A 20,454-nucleotide genomic window follows, 5' to 3' on the forward strand; every position below is an offset into this window, starting at 1 on the left:
GGGCTCCCACTTTGGCGGCACTTGAGGAGCCCTTCAGCCCACCGTTGCACCATGGGAACCCCTTTCTGGGCTGGCCAAGGCCAGCCGGAGCGGGCTCCCTCAGCTTGCAGGGAGGTGTGGAGGGAGAGGCGCGAGCGGGAACCGCGGCTGCGCCCGGCGCTTGCGGGCCAGCTGGAGTTCCGGGTGGGCGTGGGCTTGGCGGGTGCCGCACTCGGAGCAGCCGGCCGGCCCTGCCGCCCCGGGCAATGGGGGCTTAGCACCCGGGCCAGTGGCTGCGGAGGGTGTACTGGGTCCCCCAGCAGTGCCAGCCCACCGGCGCTGCGCTCGATTTCTCACCGGTTCTTAGCTGCCTTCCGGCGGGGCAGGGCTCGGGACCTGCAGCCTGCCATGCCTGAGCCTCCCACCCCCTCCATGGGCTCCTGTGCGGCAGGAGCCTCCCCGATGAGCGCCGCCCCCTGCTCCACGGTGCCCAGTCCCATCGACCACCCAAGGGCTGAGGAGTATGGGCCCACGGCGAGGGACTGGCAGGCAGCTCCACCTGCAGCCCCAGTGTGGGATCCACTGGGTGAAGCCAGCTGGGCTCCTGAGTCTGGTGGGGAGGTAGAGAACCTTTATGTCTAGCCCAGGGATTGTAAATACACAAATCGGCACTACGTATCTAGTTCAAGGTTTGTAAACACACCAATCAGCACCCTGTGTCTAGCTCAGGGTTTGTGAATGCACCAATCAACACTCAGTATCTAGCTACTCTGGTGGGGCCTTGGAGAACCTTTATGTCCAGCTCAGGGACTGTAAATACACCAATCGGCACTCTGTATCTAGCTCAAGGTTTGTAAATACACCAATCAGCACCCTGTGTCTAGCTCAGGGTTTGTGAATGCACCAATCGACACTCTGTATCTAGCTAATCTGGTGGGGACCTGGAGAACCTTTGTGTCTAGCTCAGGGATTGTAAATGCACCAATCAGCGCCCTGTCAAAACAGACCACTCGGCTCTACCAATCAGCAGGATGTGGGTGGGGCCAGATAAGAGAATAAAAGCAGGCTGACAGAGCCAGCAGTGGCAACCCGCTGGGGTCCCCTTCCACACTGTGGAGGCTTTATTCTTTTGCTCTTTGCAATAAATCTTGCTACTGCTCACTCTTTGTGTCCACACTGCTTTTATGAGCTGTAACCCTCACCGCGAAGGTCTGCAGCTTCACTCCTGAGCCAGCGAGACCACGAACCCACCAGAAAGAAGAAACTCCGAGCACATAGGAACATCAGAAGGAACAAACTCCAGACGGCGCCACCTTAAGAGGTGTAACACTCACCGCGAGGGTCTGTGGCTTCATTCTTGAAGTCAGTGAGACCAAGAACCCACCAATTCTGGACACATTAACATACATTATTATTAACTATAGTGTGGTCATCATGCTATGCAATAAATCTCAAAAACTTATTCCTCCTGTATAATTCAAATTTTGTTTCCTTTGATGGATGGCTCCTTACTTTCATCCCTTCCAACTCGGGTAACCACCATTCTACTTTCTACTTACATGAGTTCAACTATTTTACATTCCACATGAAAGTGGAATTTTCCAAATTCTATTATGTCAAGGCAGACCAGTGATGAAAGCAACAACAAGTAATATCATAATGTATAATTCCTGACATTATGAAAAAATATTTTTTGTTATTAAAACAAGATTTATGCAAATGAAATAAAAGGAAGATTATCTAAAAACTAAAACAATCTACTTGCTGGATTATTTTAACAGATGATAAAATTTTTAGATATTCAGAAGAAAATAATTGTGAAATGGAAAAGGACAGCTGCATTATAGACATGCTAGTGAGAAAAAATAAGTATAATATAAAAATCATGGAGAGGTAGTAAGCAGAAGAAAAGGCATTGGGGCAATGAGGTGGAAAGACCCATTGTTACCTGGAGGGGCATGGCTTGTGGGAAGGTTAGTTCAGCTGGAATACAGAGTTTGGATTGGGAAAAGGTAAGAGTAAAGGTGAATTTAGATAAGATTGTAAAAATCCTTAAACTCTGGGCTAATGCAAGCTTCAGACTGTTTCAGATGATGTGTGACTGGCCTGCCAAGGGCTCTTCCAAGAATTAGTGGGTGAAAGAAAATTACTTCTTTTTCAAAGTAACAGCAAGTCATTAATTTATGCTCAGGGGCAGCCAGAAGTCCCAGTTTGGTTAGTCTTGCCAACTTAAAAGTATTAGCCCAACTTGGTCCCTCCAAGCTCACCATGTGATATTTACTTCCCTGAATTCCACAAATTATCTATTAAATATATTATTTACAGGCATCTTGATTTAATCTAGGACTAGATGGACCTCAAAGAAAGAATTTTCCTTTCTTCCTAAATGTTCACCTCTATTACACTGAAGAGTTTTATCTGACCATTTTGTTTGTTTTTAAAATATTTCTCTGCTATGATTATTTCTTACATTGTGGCACAATCTAAGAGCTGTGCATATATTGAAGAAGAACAAAGCAACCCAGTGATTGGGGAGCAAGCCCAGTATATGCTATAATTTTCTGCTCTGAAGAGATAAACTGATCAATGACATGCTACGGTGATTTTGCCAGATAGTGTGTTTGTTGTTTTGGCTTTAGCACATTTAAACTAGCAATGGTTCAATAAAAAGGGGTCATGTTAAGAATTTTCTTACCAACTATAAAGTTCCTTGTTGGTTGCCTAGATAGTTTTCCCCCCCGGAAATCTGTGCTCAAAAGGGAAATTTCTGAACTCAAGAGAACACTCTTTCATTTGAAATACTATGAAGCAGCCCACAACACAGTGACTGAAACATCAAGAAAATGTAAACATCTTTATGGTGGTGGAATTCCCTAAATGCAGTGCAAGGCTCTTCTGATACAAAACAGCTGTTTCATCTGTATCTACAACCAGGCACAAGAAGAAAGGCTGCTTCAGACACCTAAGTCATTTCAAATCAGTTTAAAGCATCTTTGGCGCCCTTAAATATTAATGAAAGTCAACAATCAGTGAAGACTTTGCCCTACAGGGACTGTCACTGGTCAGCTTCTTGCTGTTTGTTTCTGAGTTAATCAAATTACTGTATCATTGGTGCAGTTGTACCCTTCATCATTAATGATCAGTGTCTGAAAGAAAGAGGATGTTCTTGGCATAATGGCACATTAATCCTGTGGGAGATTGGAGCGGGATTACTCTTTTGCCCAGATTGCCCTCATGTGTGAGGTAGAGGTATAGATGAAGATCGGTGGCGGAAATCAATTTAATAAGTCTAAAAGACAGTTCGGGTTACGTTATCAGCCAGACAGGAAATACACATGCAAAGAAGAAAAAGAAGCTATGAAAGGAAGAGTGTAATGATGTTAATTTCTTAATTTGTTTCCTCTGATGTAGGATCTAGACATTAGTATCATTGTCAGTACGTGTGCAAGTCACTTCAGAAAAATCACTCCTGCAGTAGAGCTAATTGTTATCAAAATGTAAAATGTGTTCTGGGTGTTACTGATACTACCTATTTGTACTTGGCAAAACATATATTTTTTTCCAGCATCAAAATGGTTAAAATGAAGAAGCCAGGTTATTACACATTTCAATTCCAGAGTCAAATATAAAAATTTCTATTATAGGGACAATTAATTACATCTCAAAATGGCAAATGTGCATCCTTGTCAGGTAGAGTGTACTCTGATGGCCTTTCCTCAAACACTGAATGTGGAGATTTGATCTCTTCTAATGGTGCTGAGAAAAGGGTAATTACGCTATGGTCAAAGCTAATTTGCTTTCTGCCAGATGAACTGTTGTATTTTATTGTACGCTGACATTTTAAAGTAATTACGGCACTGTTGACCTTAGACAATTCCAGTTGTATCGCTGTCTACAGCTGCAGCGCTTGGTCTACCTTTGGCTGGCAGACAGTGGCTGTAACGAGGTAATGACACGGACAAAGAGCACCATATGGGGCTCCTTTGAGATACACAAAGCCCAGTGAAAGGAAACAAGAAAATTTTAACATCATCATTACAGTCACACATCTTTACAGCTATAAAGGGTCCTGTCCACGCGTGCTTGTGCGCGTGCACATACACACACAGGCACACAAATAATCTAAACACTTTGCCTGCTTGTACCTTAGGTGTGTGTGTGGGTGTGTTTGCACATGTTTGAGTGTGTGTGTGTGCATGTGCGTGTGTGTGTGTGTTTCTTTTGTAAATGGCAGCATGCATCAAGAAGAAAAAGAGGTCAGGTAGAACTGAACGTGACGGACTGGTCTTCCACTGACAGGAGTTCAAAGGCTAAAGACTATTGATTGAGATAAAAGCCCAGGTTCTTAACTAATGTTAAAGACACTCCTTGTTGTCTGAAAGCTGTGCACATAATTAGGCAGAAAGAAGAGCACTTCAGCCAGCAAATCACTATAAACCAAGCCTCATTAAAATAGATATTAGTTCATTTAAAGAAAGAAGTTATTATTCATTCATATATTTTAATGAGCTATCAGGCTGTCTTTTCTATGATAAGAAAAAAAAAAAACATGTTCAGAGTTTGGCCTGGTTAATGTATCCTTGCAAAGATAGCAAAATAGATTAATATCACTCAAAAAGAATAATGCTTCATCTTCTTCAAGGAAAAATGCACAGGATATTGAACTATAGAATTATTGTCAAGAAGAGGTGGGAAAAAACTGAGCTTTACCATCATGTTAAATATTTCAATCTATTTGGGTAGGTGGAAATGGACTATGGAAATGTGAGCTCACTTACAATAAGCCATGGAGGTTGCCTCCATCATAGCTTATTGCCTACTTATGTGACAATTACATGAAGCAAAGGAAAGTCAATGTATTTCCTTTTGAATTACATTTCTATCATTCAGGGTTTCCCCCTTAGTAATTATTGGAAGGGTGCATGAGTTATTATTTCATTGAGTAAAAAGATAATAAAAATTACATTACAGAGATGGTAGGGTTTCCTGTAGAGTCCTTAATTTAGTTTAAACTGTGAGGACTGTTTTTCTCCTAAATTTGTTTCCTAGTTTGTTTGTTTGTTTGTTTTTCATGAATATTTGGAGATCTCTATGCCAATAGTTTTTGGCCTTTTTAAAGGCAAAGTTCATTTGACAAAGTTACTTAACATTTCACCTTCAAAATTGGAATTACGTGGAATTGAAATATCTGTGAAAATGATCATTTATGAAATGTTCGTTTGGGTGATATATCATTTAAAATTTACCTTATTTTTAATCCCAGTAAGAAAGAAGTTCTAGAGTAGATGCACTAAACCCTGTTTAAGTTGTGTTTTATTTTACCTTTAAAACTTAGGATAAACTGATTGACCTATACTACATTCATTGTAAAGTGCTGAGGAAAATAGTAATGCTTTACAATATCCTCCTTTAGCTATTAAATTCCATGTGACACTCCTATTATTATTAAAATGACTTAACTATTCTGCACTATAATTTAGAAATAAATACCTCCACTCAAAATCATATATTAAGAAATAGCTAACCAACCCATTTTAGATATGGAGGAGTAACAATAAGAAAGCATTCTAAGTGTATGAAGTGGTACACTAAGAAACTTAAAACTCCAATACTTTTGGTCTTTGTGGATTCAAACCTGAGTCCAACAATAAGAAACATAGCTGGAAATATAAAGAGCCAGGCTATTTGTATTCTAATTTTTGGTTTTTAGATACAGTACCTCACACCTAGTAGCTCTTCATTTTGTCTGTAAATATCATGGATTTAAAACCTTCACTGTATTTATTAATGAGCTAAATAGCATAGAAGCCTACCATTTAATACTTTTGGAAACCACCCCCCCACCCCCGCTAAATATTTATTTCTTCAGGAGTATACATAGTGCTGTAGAATTGGTATTTTTACAGTCTAATTTTATCTGCTCTCCAAGTCCTAAAAGGTAAAGAAAAGATAAAGAGGGAAAAGAAGAGTTTCCTAGAGATGCATTTAAAGAAGAAAAAGCAACAGGAAAGAAAACTCTTGGTCATATTTTTCAAAGAGGAATGGAGTGAGAGAGAAACATGAGGCCAGAGTAATCACAGAAACAGAAAACGAATTCTGATAGATTGAGAGTGAGTGGGAGAAAGAAAGAGAGTGACAAGAAGTAAGAAATCACTTCCTTGAATTAAGAGTGAGCGATGTAGTTGGAGAAGCAGAGAGACAGATAGATGGAGTTTTCTGCACAGATAAGGAGAGAGCTACACCTTGGAAGCAGAGAGACTGTAAAAGCACATTGCATAATAAAGAGGGCACATTGCATGCAAAAAGGAACATTCATGGTGCTATCTGTGACTTGAACCCATAAAAATCTCAGTTATTTTGAAGCTGATAGAATACTAACAAAAATAATTGAATGAAAGAAGCAAAGAAAATAAAAAGAAAAGACATGTAATGGCTCCAAGTTCTAATCCTCACTACTGATTTTTTACTGTTATTTATACAAATCTCAAGATAACATGCCAACATCAATTCTTCTATTCTTTTCTATAAAATGGGATAGGCAAGGAAGCTTTGAAAAATTCTGAAATAGCTGCTAGACTGGCACTTTAATACAACATCTCATTAATTCTGCTGATTATTTAAGAAATCAGAATTTTTTCAAAGGTGACAGAGAGGTATGTCTTGCCTGTGTAATGAAGGTTGTAAAACAAAACCAGAATTGGCAACGAGAAGAACAGCTTTCTGGAAGGTGGACATTTTAGAGCAGGTACTTAAAAGTCTTTGGAAAAGTTTTAGGGATGTGATGGAAGCAAAACGATTCTCCCCACTCTACTGAAAATGAGCTAGTTTTCCATGCAAAGCTATTTTGGGCCATAAAAAGACAGTAACTCTAATCAAGTATATAGATTCATTAAGGACCATACTAGATCGAGGTCAAATATGTGACCCTCCAATCTGGGCACACTTAGCTGAGGCAATACTATCTCATCATTACTATCTTGAATTTATTGTCCATGAAATAGGCTGTTGCCTGCTTTTCTATCAAAACAAATATAAAGACTAATCCAGCACGTAAAAATGTAAGTCAGACTACTGAATCTTTTTAGCTGGGCTGGATATACTGCAGAGCAAAAGAAGTCTGCATAACATTGTTTTAATATTGCCCTTAAAATAACGTATTTTTTCTCCTAAGGACCCACTGCATACAGTGACTTTCATTAATTTCAGGATGTGGAAACCAATCTTTGTGTATCTGCCTTTCCTTAAATGTTGTCTGTGTAGGAAAGTTTTAAAAAGCATCAGTATTTTGCCTATCCAGATCAAAATTGGAGCTAAAAACAAGGACATGGAGTTCTGAGGAAAATATAAACGATCAAAAAAACAATATTTTCGAAGAGAATGAGTGCAAAAGTGGATATAAATGATTTGGAGAAAATTTTTAGCACATCTTAAAAAGAAATATTTATTATTTTTTCATAAAGGTTTAAGATCAACAATCCTCTTATCAAGGAGACTTCTTTAGACCAGTGATGGTTAAAAATTAATTTGACACTGATTTAATTAAAATATTAGGTTTACAGATTTAACATTTTCAGATATAATGTCTTCATAAGGCACTTATATAGGGGTAAAAAAGAGAAGTAATTTAAGATTAGTAGAACATTAATTTAATTAAACCAAATCTTTAATTATTCTTAATTTTCTTTTTTGTAGGAAGTTTGGCCTTTAGTAAAAACTTTTTGCCTTTTGTATCACAGGTAAACATTTCTTGCTATAATTCAGACAGCTGCAATTTGCAATTGTGCCAGAAAACTGTTCTGGTATTACCTAATAGCTGGCTGCTATTAGATAATGTATTTTACATAGATTAGCCTAAATTAAGATCAGGAAGAACATCTTTTTTCCATTTTATTATTTTTTTCATTTTCTGAATGATGAGTAACTGTCAGTGTGTGGACACCTCTTTTCAAGGAATGTGTGAAGCTGTCACCCTGCTATATCGGCAGGACAATCCAGATGTTACACAATATTAAATCTGGGGCTCAGCATCATGATGATTGTCAACTGAGAACAACCTAATCATATGCCTGAGTCTTGGTAAAATGACAATTTTTGGAGAGTTGAAGGATGCCAATAGCTTTTAATATTTCAAACCAATATCTTTCTCGTGTTAAGTTTGCAATATTTTCTCCTAGGATAATATTAAAAATACTTAAAAATCTATTTTGGAAGAGAATTGGCTATAACTTGTGATCAGATTTAATTAGTACTTACAGAAAAAGAATTCTTGTATTTCCGAGGTTTTCTCTTATCATAGCTATCGAGTCTGAGGAATTCTGATCTGAGGACAATGTACGTGCCACACTGGCATCAGAACCTGTTTATGCAGGTAATGGCTGGTTTAGGATACCTCTGAACTGTCACGTACCATTTGAATTAATGAGGCCATACAGGTCTAAGGTCTTGAAAAAGGCCTCTCTAGATTAGGGTCTATTAAACCTGCCACAAGCTGCTTAGTGTTTTAAAAGTGACAACAGAGGCTCTTTGGTTTAGCATTCTTTTCTTTTCTTTTTTTTTTTTTTTTTTAATATTGAAAAAAATAGTTTCCCATTCTATAGTAAACACTCTACTAACTTACAAGAATTTGCATTCTTATAGGATGAAATTCCTACAGATTTATTAGACACTCAACAAATCTTTTAAGAACATCAAAACTCCAAACAAGAAAATATCAAAAATAAAAATTAGGTAGAAAAGCACATTTAAGAAACTGCATGGTAACTTAGTAAATGAGGCAGTTAATATCTTGTTTTATATTAAAAGCAGCTAAATTTTAGCAAATTAAAATAGTAGAAGCCTTAAACAAAGTGGCCTGTTTAATCAGGGATAAGCAGGAGCATTATCCATTATCTCTATTTAGTCAGAATTCAATATTTAGTTGGAAGACTAAAATATCATGGTACATTCATATGAAAAACACAAACATCAACAAATAAAGAAATGATAATTAGCATTCTTTAAAGAGCACTGAAGTTAATATCATTCTCCTGATGATAACTTTATTGTCACAATATTGGCTTTATAGTTTGGTGTGCATTCTTTGTTTGCTTTCTGTATGATTTCAAAACTCTCTTAAATGACTACAGTTTCTCTGAACCATGAATATTATTTCATTAATAGACTTCTGTTTTTGCTTAGGAAAATTTGAGTGTAAAATCAATTTAGTGTTCTCAAACCTATTAGGTGCTTAGCCTTTAATTTGCTGCACATTAACATTAAATGGTCAAAATATGAGGTTATTTTTGGAGTGATTATTATGATGGTGATAAGGCCTGACACTTGCGCCACTTCAAACACGCAACCACCAACAGTTCCATTACAACAAAAGAGCTCCCAGCATAACACATTTTAATAGTCAGAAGAGTTGTGAATTCACAGCTTTGCACAGCAGGTGTGGCTGCACATCTTTGCACCCCTAAATACACTTGCTCATCTAATCTGACAGATTAGACAATGGCACAAAACCCCCATCACCGATGTCTAAACAAAGACTTCATTTCAGAAGAGACAAAGCTTCATGCAGACTGTGTTGCCACTAATAACTTTTCTAAGCGGAAAACAATGTACATTTTACTAATGAAAAACAAATTGCAGCAGGGAAGATGAATGTCTTGGCTTTTCTGACATTTTAAATAATCTGCCCTCCCTTCCCTTTTGTGCCTTTAATATTTACCTTCATATCAATCTTTGTGTAATTTTGTTAATTGGCCATGGTGCTGACATCAGAAAAATGGAAAGCATCACAATCACAGTCCAGGACCTTAAAACCCATGTTGTAAGGGAAAAACAATTTTGCTATTCTTTATAAGCAAAATACATGAGAAAGCAGTACCTTTCATTAGAACCAGAGGTAAGCTGGACTTTGGGGTGCCCACACTACAGTGAAAATACACTCAAAAGGGCTGTAACCTGATTTTCTATGCAATGTCATCACAGCTGAACATTAAAAGTGAGACTGGAGATGTGCATATTTACCATCAGGAACTGGACTGAGCATTAATGGGCTCCGGAGGCTTATTTGGAGGCAGTTGCACTTATCATGAATCAGGAAAAGGAAATAGCAGCCCTGGTGTGCTGTAGGTCAGTCAGAAATGTCGACTTGAGAGATTCATAAATCTCTGGCATGACTTCAGCCACTGACTTTCAGAACCTCCTTCTAGCGTTTTCCTATAATTTAAAGATTATGTAAGGTATATCGTGAGTGTGTTCGATGAAAATATTAATTTAGAGATAAATCCTGTAAGTGCTCTGAAGCCACGGCTTCTGCCGTGCAGTTACACTTCAAACAGGACAGGCTGCTAGTTTTGTCAACAGTAGGAGGTCATGGAAGGCTGCCAAAGAAAACAAACCTTTTTCAGTAAAATACTTTCAGTTCTAAGTAGTCACAGAATATCTCTTGTACTGTTTTATTGCTGATATTTAAACTTTGATAGATTGTCTTTTGCTGACAATTTCTTGAGTCAGAAATCTTAATCATAAAATGAAGTGTGGAACATACACTAGTGAGACAATTAATCACAGCAAAGTCTGTCTGGCAAGTTCAAGTAATTTTCTGGTGTTTTTGCTTTGGCGCCAAGAGGGGAGGGGTATGGCAGGAGGGAGTGGTAAAAGTTATAGGGTAAACTATTTCTCTGTCGTTTTTGTTGTTGTTGTTCCCTGAAAGACTGATGACGTATTTTAGTAAGGAAAATCCTGAGCCTTTGAGAAAAATGACAGAATTTTTCCATTGAAGAAATAGTTTTATTAATAATTATAATAAGGTGCAATGTCATTTTCATTTATCAATATGGTATAATTGATCCTAAAATAAAAGTATTCTGCATCTGCCTCTTTGTGTAATTGGATACAAAATTTAAAATATGAGAGGAAACATGCAATGTATATTCAGATTTGTCATACACTTAATAACCTAAATTGGAAATTAATGCATTTGAAAATATTGCCCAGGTAAAGAATGGTGAAATTTGATGTAATTGATTTCCAAAACCGCCTCTCACATTTAAGGCAAGCATTCTGCTGGATAATCAGTTACTGCAATTTTCATTTGCATTCTCTGACTCTCTTTGATTTGCAAAGATACCTCTTTTGAAAATAAAAATCCATTAATGGCCTTCCATCCTGTGGTTAGAAAATAAAACACATGGTGACTATAGTTATAAACACCAAATTCTATTAAATGGGTACAGGGTACTAGTAAGTACATATTCTGTTTTCATCATTGTTCATAATGAGATATTTGTTTGACTTTTTTTTTTTACCTGTTAGTATTATTCAAGCCCTAAAGATATATAAGAATACATGCAAATTTAAAATAATATAAATGAGGATTTCACATATTCTTAATGATATTCTGGAGTTGTAAAATATAATTAACATCATAGAGTGCCTGGAGTACCCAGGCAGAAACCAAATGAGAATTTAAGTCTCAGTATTACAAGAGTGTTGATGCAAAACTCATAGTTCTCTCTCTCTCTCTCTTTCTCTCTTTCTCTCTCACTCCTTATTTTTTCAGACTACAGTTTAAGTGTTTTAATACTTATCTTGGTATCTTGACTGGTTTTTAAAGTAACCTGTTCATGGAGAACTCTGACACCTCTGTGCAGGCATTATCAGCACAGCGCTATCTGTAAGCTATGCATGGCCACCTTTATTGTTTTACTGTTTTAAAAGCTATGTTCCACTTTCAAATTACATTAAGAATATAAATTTCAACCTCAAAATTATGATTCTGTACAACAGAGGTAGAATGTATGCTTTGTAGCACAGGATCCCTTTTATTTAATATTAAGCATTCATCCTCTCACATTTTTCTATTTTTGAAAACCATTTGAAATGAATAGACATACACCATAGGATTCTAGACCCTGTAGAATCCTAGGGCCTGTGGCAGACTGAAGCCTAGCAGCCTCTTGTACAGACACTGCCAGCAGAATATTTGAAGTTGATGCAGCTTAGGAAGAGGCTGATCTTCACAGAAAAGCCAGAATTTCTATAAAAAAAAAGTTTTTAAAGGTATTTTACCCCTAATCATAGACAAGCATTAAAGATCTTAAAACATGACTGTGATCAGGCATTTTTTTTTTCTGGCATACTTTTTAAGTGAAGACTAGTGTCTGCACAATTTAGGATGAAGGCTTGACGTTCTCATACATCCCATATAGTCTCCTTTTGAAAGCTATCATCTATATGATGTTCCTGAGTACCAGCCTGTTCTATTCATTAATATTGCTAACATTAATGGAAAAGCACAAAGATTATTCTGAATTGATGTGAAAAATGCCTGGTCCTAGCTGTCTTATGGCTTGACTGAGATTGGCCATCATGTATCCAGAATCATCCCTTCATATTAGTCTACTGACAAACCCTCACTCTTTCTTCTACCTTTTTATAAGTATCATTGCTTACTTCTAACCACACGTGGAAAAAAAAAAAGGTTATCACTAGGTATTAAGGAAACAGAAACAATGAGAGATATAACATTCCTAACTATTGGTTTCCTTTAACAGAATTGGTTTAGAATTTTAATTTAAGTTCTAGCTGTGAATTAACTCTACTTAGAATTTCACCATTTGGTCAGCACAAGATATTTAATATAAAGTTCCAATACCATTTATTTAGCATTAAAGATATTGATTTCACAAACCGGAACTGAATTTCTAATTGTTTACTATTAGGAAATATTACATTGATGTGATAGAAAATAGATTTTTTGGATATTTCCCTTAATACAGCTATAATACCAAAAATCTCCACTGTAAAGATTTTGCAGTTGTTAATTTGGTGGATAATTAGCATTCTATGATTGCTATCATGTGACAGAACAAATATTGGGCCAGAAAGAAAGAGATACCAGAAGGGAAAACTACGTGTGAGAATTTGGGGATATGGCTGGCATAATCAGAAAACAAGGAAGTTTATTTATCTGCTCATACCTGCGAATAAAAATCAATAATTTCTGCTGCCATCCTATCACATAGATGAATATTTCTTCATATAGTAAATAGTTGTAGCTCATTAATTAGAGTTCAGGTATTATTTTCTCTGCTGAGGTCAGCAAGCTAAGTAAGATATAGTCCTTGTCCTCAAGAGAAACTTAGAGTTTAACCAGGAAAATTCACAGCAGTTCCTGGAGTCCCACTAAAGCATTTATAACCCTCTGTCGTCATGGTCTGCAATCCCAATCAGGTCCACAAGGCTGCCTGAAAGTTCTTTGATTTTTCTGGTCAGCTCTCTCACCCATTCTTTACAACAAATGTTTCAAACTCAGTCCCCTCTCTCCAAACCATTTACCCTAACCCCAATCCCTCAGCCTCAGGATATAACCTTTACTACCACTCAGTAAGGAAAATAAAGGTCATGAAGAGTCAACTCCTTTCACTCGCTGACATTTGGCAGATACCTATGCCAAGTCCTTTCCCCTCTCTCCTGCCACTTTCATTACTCGACCAAAATTGCTGTCACCAGGGCTGCACATGGATAGGGTTTAGTCTTTCTCTTATTTGACCTCTGTGTAAGTTGTCACTTGCACGGACTCCATTGTTATCAGAACATATTCTTCCCCTTGCCTCCCCCTTTCTCCCAGGCTTTTCTAAGTGCTATACTTTTTCTCAAACTGCTTTGCACATTCCTTCTCTGGGAACTTTGCCTGGTTGCTTTCCTTTGCTTGTCTCTTAAATACAGATTTTTTAAAGTGTTTCTATCTTTAAAATGTATGAAAGAATTATTATAAAGCCTGGCATAGCAAGAGTGATCAAGATTTTTGTTTGTTTGTTTGTTTGTTTGTCAGGGCCTAAACAGATTTTTTAAAAATCCTGTCACTTTTTCCTCGTATTTTTCACTATATTTCAGGCAGCCACAATATTCAGTTAATGACCATTGTGTACAAAGCATCAAATTATGGAAGGACTTTCATCCCTGTCTACAAGATTAACTCTTTTCTGTGCATTAAGTGAGGCTCACATTAACCCTTTGCAATCATTATTAGCATGCAGGAGTTCCCACCTGTTGTGCAACACATCAACTTTTGATTTAGTACCATTATGGATCATAGTCTGTGCTCTCTCTATATACTTTTTCATAAACCTTCCCAAGTATTATGACATGAGTACATCCAAACCCCTCAGTACCAAAGTTACTACCTCAAGAATTTGTGTAGATGCTTTGGAAACCATTGGCCCCTAAAGTTTTCTATAAAAACTTAAATATAATATTACTTATTAAGTTCATTTCATCTGCAAAAGTAGCTTAGTCTGAAAAATATACTGAATATGTGTTAAGTCACCATACTTTAATATATATAGCTTGGCCCTTTTCATTATGTTGAATATTAAAGATGTCACTTTGGTACATGTTGGGGCCACGCTGCGGTGGCAGTTGGACTGGGGCATGACACCCTATAGCACAGAAACTATCATAAAAGCTTTAATGAGAATGTTTGCATAATTGACTGTGAAATATCCTCAGTTGCCATTTTTTTTTACTTTATTTGTGAAGACTGATGTTTCTTAAATAAATAAGTAAAACCCTCATCTATACAATAACTATTAGGACGAGGAAGTACAGATTTTGAGTAACATTAACTTTATGCTCAGGGCGTGCATGGCACCCAGTCAGGTTTGCTAAATTAAATAGGTTTTATTCTTGTATTCTTGGAACTTTCTCGATAGATTCATCATCAGGGTTATTTATGCTGCTTTGTGACAGCAAAACATTGAACTGTAAGCATTAGTGGAAAGAACATACATTGAAGAGATCATGAAAATGATGACTGGTTTCTATGCAAAACTGATGTTCTTGTGAATTATTTTGCTTAAGGAAAGTATTATTTTTCCATTAGCAAATGAAGAGAGGAAAAAATTAAATTAAATTAAATTAAATTAAATTCAAAATTAATTTGGAATTTCATCTTTTGTAAATCTTTAGAAATGGGAGATTTACCCATTTGCACATGGTCCTCACTTGTTGATGAAGAAAGTCTTACAATTACATGCTATGACAATGGAGAGAAAGGGAGACTCAACTAAAATCCCTCTACTCAATCACTCTACACTTTTACAGGCAGTATCTATGTTTTACTCTCCTCATTCACCAGGGCCTGACAGCAGAGACCAGAGCTAGGGAGGTGGGGGACAGTGGAGAAGTAAAGATATAACCTGCTGGAATGGAGGTATAGACATTAGAGAATGTGTTTTCCTGTCTGTAGTGGCATTTGACAGAAAAATTAGAGCAGGCACCATCTTCACTTTTATCCTTCCCCTCAAATAACCTCTTGTTACACTATCTTCACAGGGTATGGGGACAGAATAAAGAGGATGCAGGATGGTAGTGATGGGGGTTGGACAGGGTCTTGCTAGAGCTGCAGATATCAGCTTCACAGATCTTGCTGCTTTGCCCCCTTTGAAGATCTCTATTGTACAAAAGGCTTGTCAGTATCCCTGATAACTACTAGGTTGATCATTTAACCCTCTTATCACTTAAGAGCTAACTCTTCCTTCAATGCTGAATCATCACAGTGTGCAAGAACAAGACATGTCATGTACATGGAAAGGGGACACAATAAATATGATATTTAGAGGAAAGCAGGAAATAGACAGTTTTCATTTATCTTCAGAGTTAGAAATATAGACCTGAAAGGACAAAACAGGGATGTGAGAATTCTATTTTAATAGCTACAAAATTTGAGATGTGGTCAGGTATTGAACAAGCTCCACTGTGAACAGAGAAATCTACTCTATGAGAAATAAATTCCTAGACATAATTTGGCCAATAGTCAGTACTCCAAGTAATTTAGGGGTTTGTAGATTCAAATTTTAGATTGTTAGAAATTATCTATGTTCATTATACAATTAAGAAAATTGACTCAAAGAGACCAAACTCCAAAACTCCTCTAACAATCCAATGCCAGAGCTGAGGACACTTTCTGCATCTATCTTAGAACTCAGTCCAACATGTCACATCACCTGTTTCTAAACCTCAACCAGATGTCATCTGAATTGGATCAAAATTATAACCTTTACCTAGGAATGTGTACTTAACCATGACACATTTTACATAGGGTACCAATAAATCATTTCATATAAATATTACTTTTTTCTACCTTTTGACAAAATTATTGTTGTAAAGTTGAATACCTTCAGAAAGTAGTTTCTTAGAGGCACAAAACCACTAAGCTACCTTTAAAAGTAAAGCAATAACTAGAAATAATTTACCCTTTTGTACAGAGTACTTCTATGTTATGAGAAGCTATGAGAGTTTGGGAAAAATGATAAGGTTCTACTTAATACTCTGTGTACAATGTAAATGTACTAAAGCAATTTAGAAAAACTCTGGCAGGGGGAGATAGGGCAAGGTATCTTATTCCCGGGGTTACAACATAATATTATTATACTAAAAATGTTCAGTTTTCTGCCCCCTCCCCCAAAAAAATTAAAAGGCTTGCAAAGAAACAGAAAAGTGTAGCTTATAGACAGGAAAAAAAGCAATTAATAGAAACTGTCCCTCAAGAAAGTCCATGCATTGGATTTACTAGACAAAGACTTTAAATAAGCTATTTTAAATATTTTCAAAGATCCAAAGGAAACCATGTCTAAGAATTTAATAAAAGTATAAGAACCACATTTCACCAAGTAAAGAATATAAAAGAGATGTAATATATATATATGCATACATATGTATATATATACACATATATAATACATAGAGAAAGAAATTCTAGAGTTAAAAATTACAAAGATTGAAATGAAAAATTGTTTACTGGTGCTCAATAGCAGATTAAAGCCAGCAGAAGAATAAATCAGTGAACTGGAAGATAGGTCAATTGAAATTATCCAGTCTGAAAAATAGAAAAAATAATTTTTAAAAATATGAAAAGAGGTTAAGATACTTGTGGGACATCACCAGGCATAACAACTTATATATAATGTGAGTCCCAGAGATGAAAGAAAAGGGACAGAGTATTTGAAAAAAAATGACTGATGAAAAACATTAATCTGCACATCCAAGAAGCGTAACAAACTCCAAATGGGATAAATTGAAAAAGAATCTCAATATAATAATCAAACTCTTAAAGACAAAAAGAAAGAAAGAATCTTAAGAGCAGTGACAGAAAGGTGATTCAACACATACAAAGGATTATCAATAAGATTAAGAAGTGATTTCTCATCAGAAACCATGGAGGCTAGAAGGCAATGGAGTAACATACTCAAGGAATCAAAAGAAAAAAACCCGTCAATCAAGAATTTTATACATAGCAAAACTCTTCTTCAAAAATTATGAAGAAATTTAAACATTCCCAAATAAACTAAAACTGAGTTTGTTGCTAGTATATGTGCCTTACGAATTGTTCTTCAGGCTTAAATAAAAGGACAATAGACAATAACTTGCATCTATATGAAGAAATGAACACTGGTAAGGAAACCAGCACAGGTAAATATAAAGGAATATAATATATAAAAGACAGTATTAATACATTTTTTAAAATCCTTCAGCAAAATTATGTGATACAATATTCACATTCAAAATTTAGATGTACTTCTATGTGATAGCAATGAACAATTTGAAAATAAAATTAAGAAAACAATTCAATTTATTAATTATTAGTATAATACTTAGAGACAGACTCTCTCGCTCTTGCCCTGGTTAGAGTGCAGTGGCTCAAACATAACTTACTGCAATCTTGAACTTCTGGGCTCAAACAATCCTCCCACCTCAACCTCCTAAATAGCTGGGACTACAGGTGCACACCACCACACCGAGCTAAATTTTAATTTTTGGTAGAACCCAGGTTGATCTTGAACTCCTGGTCTCAAGTGATCCTCCTGCCTTGGCCTCCCAAAATGCTGGTATTACAACTATGAGCCAGCCCAATTCCATTTATAATAGCATCAAAAGGAAAAAATATACTTAGGAAAAACTTAAACCAAGTAAGTGCAAGATCTGTACACTGAAATTTATAAAACATATGGAAAGATGCCCTTTGTCAGTAAATTTCAAGGCTTACTATTATTAAGATGGCAGTATTTCCCAAATGATATACGGATTCCATGCAATCCTTACCAAAATTCCAAGTGCCTTTTTTTCCAGAAAGGACAAGTGATCTGAAAATTTATAATGAAATCCAAGTGATGCTAGATAGCTAAGACAATCTTGAAAAACAAGAACAGTTGGAAGACTCACACTTCCATATTTTGAAACTTACTGCAAATCTACAGTAATCAATACTGTGTGGTGCAGGCATAAGGTTAGACATATAAATCAATGGAATAAAATTGAGATTCAAAAAATGAACCCATTCATCTATATTTAATTAATTTTCGACAAAGGTACCAAGAGTATTCAATGAAGAAAAATAAATTTTCAACAAAAGGTGTTGGAAAAACTGGATACTCTTGTGCAAAAGAATGAATTTGTACGAAAACCTACTATAATAAACAAAAATTACCTCAAAAAAATCACAGACCTAAATGTAAGGCCTAATACTATAAAAATTTTTAGAATTAATAGGTATAAATCTACAGGACTACTGATTTGGCAAAGATTTCTTAGATATGACACCAAAAGCACAACAGACTAAAGAAAAAATAGATAAATTAGACTTCTACCTAAACATAAAATTTTGTGCATCAGAAGACACCATTACTAAAGCAAAATGACCATAGAATTAGTGAAAATATGTGTAAGTCATCTATCAGATAACAGTCTAATATCCAAAATATAAAAATAAGTCTTACAACAGAAAGAGAAATAGCCCAATTATAAAATTGGTGAAGGACTTGAATAGGCCTTGATTCAATGAAGATATGCAAATAGTCAATAACACAAAAGTGCTTAACATCATTAGTCATTTTGGAAATGCAAATCAAAGCCACAGTGAGGTACCACCATACACCTCCAAGGATGATTATTTTAAAAGAGAAAGAAATAAAAATTGTTGGTGAGGATGTAAAGTTGGAACCATCATTGCAGGTGGGAATGTAAAATGGCGCAGCTGTGGAAAACAGTTTGGTAATTCCTCAAAAAGTTAAGCAGAATTACCCTGTGTCACAGCTATTCTTTTTCTCTACGTATATACTCAAGAGAATTAAAAACATATGCACACAAAATATGTATACAAATGCTGGCAGCAGCATTATTTCCAATATGCAAAAAGTGGAAACAATCCAAATCTCCATCAACTAATTATTGAATAAATAAAATGTGGTATATCCATGCAATGGAATATTATTTAGACAAAATTAATGAGTACTGATACATGCTACAACATGAAAGAAACTTGAATGTATTGTACTAAATTAGTCACAAAAGACTACCTACTATATAATTCCATTGATATGAAATGTTCAGAATAAGTAAATCCGTAGAGAAAGAAAGTAAAGAATTGTTTGACAGGGTAGAGGGGAATGGGAATTGGTCGTCATTGTTAATGGATATAGTGCATCTTTTAGGGGTGAAAGAATTAGTGGTAATGGTTGCACAACACTGCAAATACACTAAAATCCACTAAATTGTATAGTTTAAAATGGTGAATTCCATATTATATGAATGTTTTCTCGATAAAAACGATTGAAAAGGAATTATGGAGCCTCCATCCACCTGGATTCCCAAGTGACTATGAAAAGCAGAATCTTCTTGTCAACCACATAGAGAATAAAGGGGAAATTGAATTTGTTTTGAGCCACTGAAATTTGGAGTTGTTGTGTTACCACAGCATAAATCAGTTTACCTTACTAATGCAGCTAATGAGTAGGAAATGTCTACAAATTACTTTAGAAATCCATGCCGTTTGTTGTGTGCGCATGTCATCCCAGCTACTTGGGAGGCTGAAGCAGGAGAATCGCTTGAACCCTGGAGGAAGAGTTTGCAGTGAGCTGAGATCGCTCCACTGCACTCCAGCCTGGGAGACGGAGTGAGATACAAAAGCATCAAAACAAAAAAATAAGTTCATGCTGTGTTAAAATCTCCAAAGTCCAATCACCTGACAGTATATAACTACCAATTTCTTTAGCCTTTTAAAGGGCAATCCTGGTTTGAGATCAACTCTATATGTCATTGAACATATGGAACTATTTAAAAGTGCCATAGAACTTAGTGAAGACTGTAAAACCAAAAAACAATTAGATATTCAGAAAATAAATCTATAAGGAAATATTTGTTAGATGTTTCCAAACTTTTATTTACTTATTTATTTTCCTTTGACATTACTTTTCTCATCATCTTAGAGGACCAAAGCAGGAAGGTTAGAAGGTAACTACCTTCTTATACATCAAATCATTTCCTTTTGCTATTTTGAAAAGTAAACCTTTCAAATAATCCTAATATCCTTAATATTGATGTATGAATATCACTGCATCACATTTAAGGTGAATAAAATTGATGCAAATTGAAATTGCAGCAGGTTGGTGAAAGGCTTACTATATATGCATCTACTGAACTTCATAT

General features: G+C 36.0%; 1 long non-coding RNA gene across 3 annotated transcripts in view, besides 1 other annotated feature; it reads right to left on the reverse strand.

Annotated features, from left to right (window-relative positions):
- The window catches only part of LOC105379082 (uncharacterized), a 135,090-nt gene that overhangs the window by 78,075 nt on the left and 36,561 nt on the right, over nt 1–20,454 (reverse strand). The gene's annotated exons all lie outside the window — the stretch shown is intronic.
- Nucleotides 3,244–5,116: an enhancer, noted in NCBI's record as "VISTA enhancer hs971". NCBI's record gives its function as "enhancer in: neural tube[6/8] | forebrain[6/8] | cranial nerve[6/8]" and the evidence as "EXISTENCE:transgenic organism evidence [ECO:0001131][PMID:17130149]".

This window comes from Homo sapiens, chromosome 5 (genome assembly GCF_000001405.40).
Source record: "Homo sapiens chromosome 5, GRCh38.p14 Primary Assembly".
Classification (NCBI taxonomy): domain Eukaryota; kingdom Metazoa; phylum Chordata; class Mammalia; order Primates; family Hominidae; genus Homo; species Homo sapiens.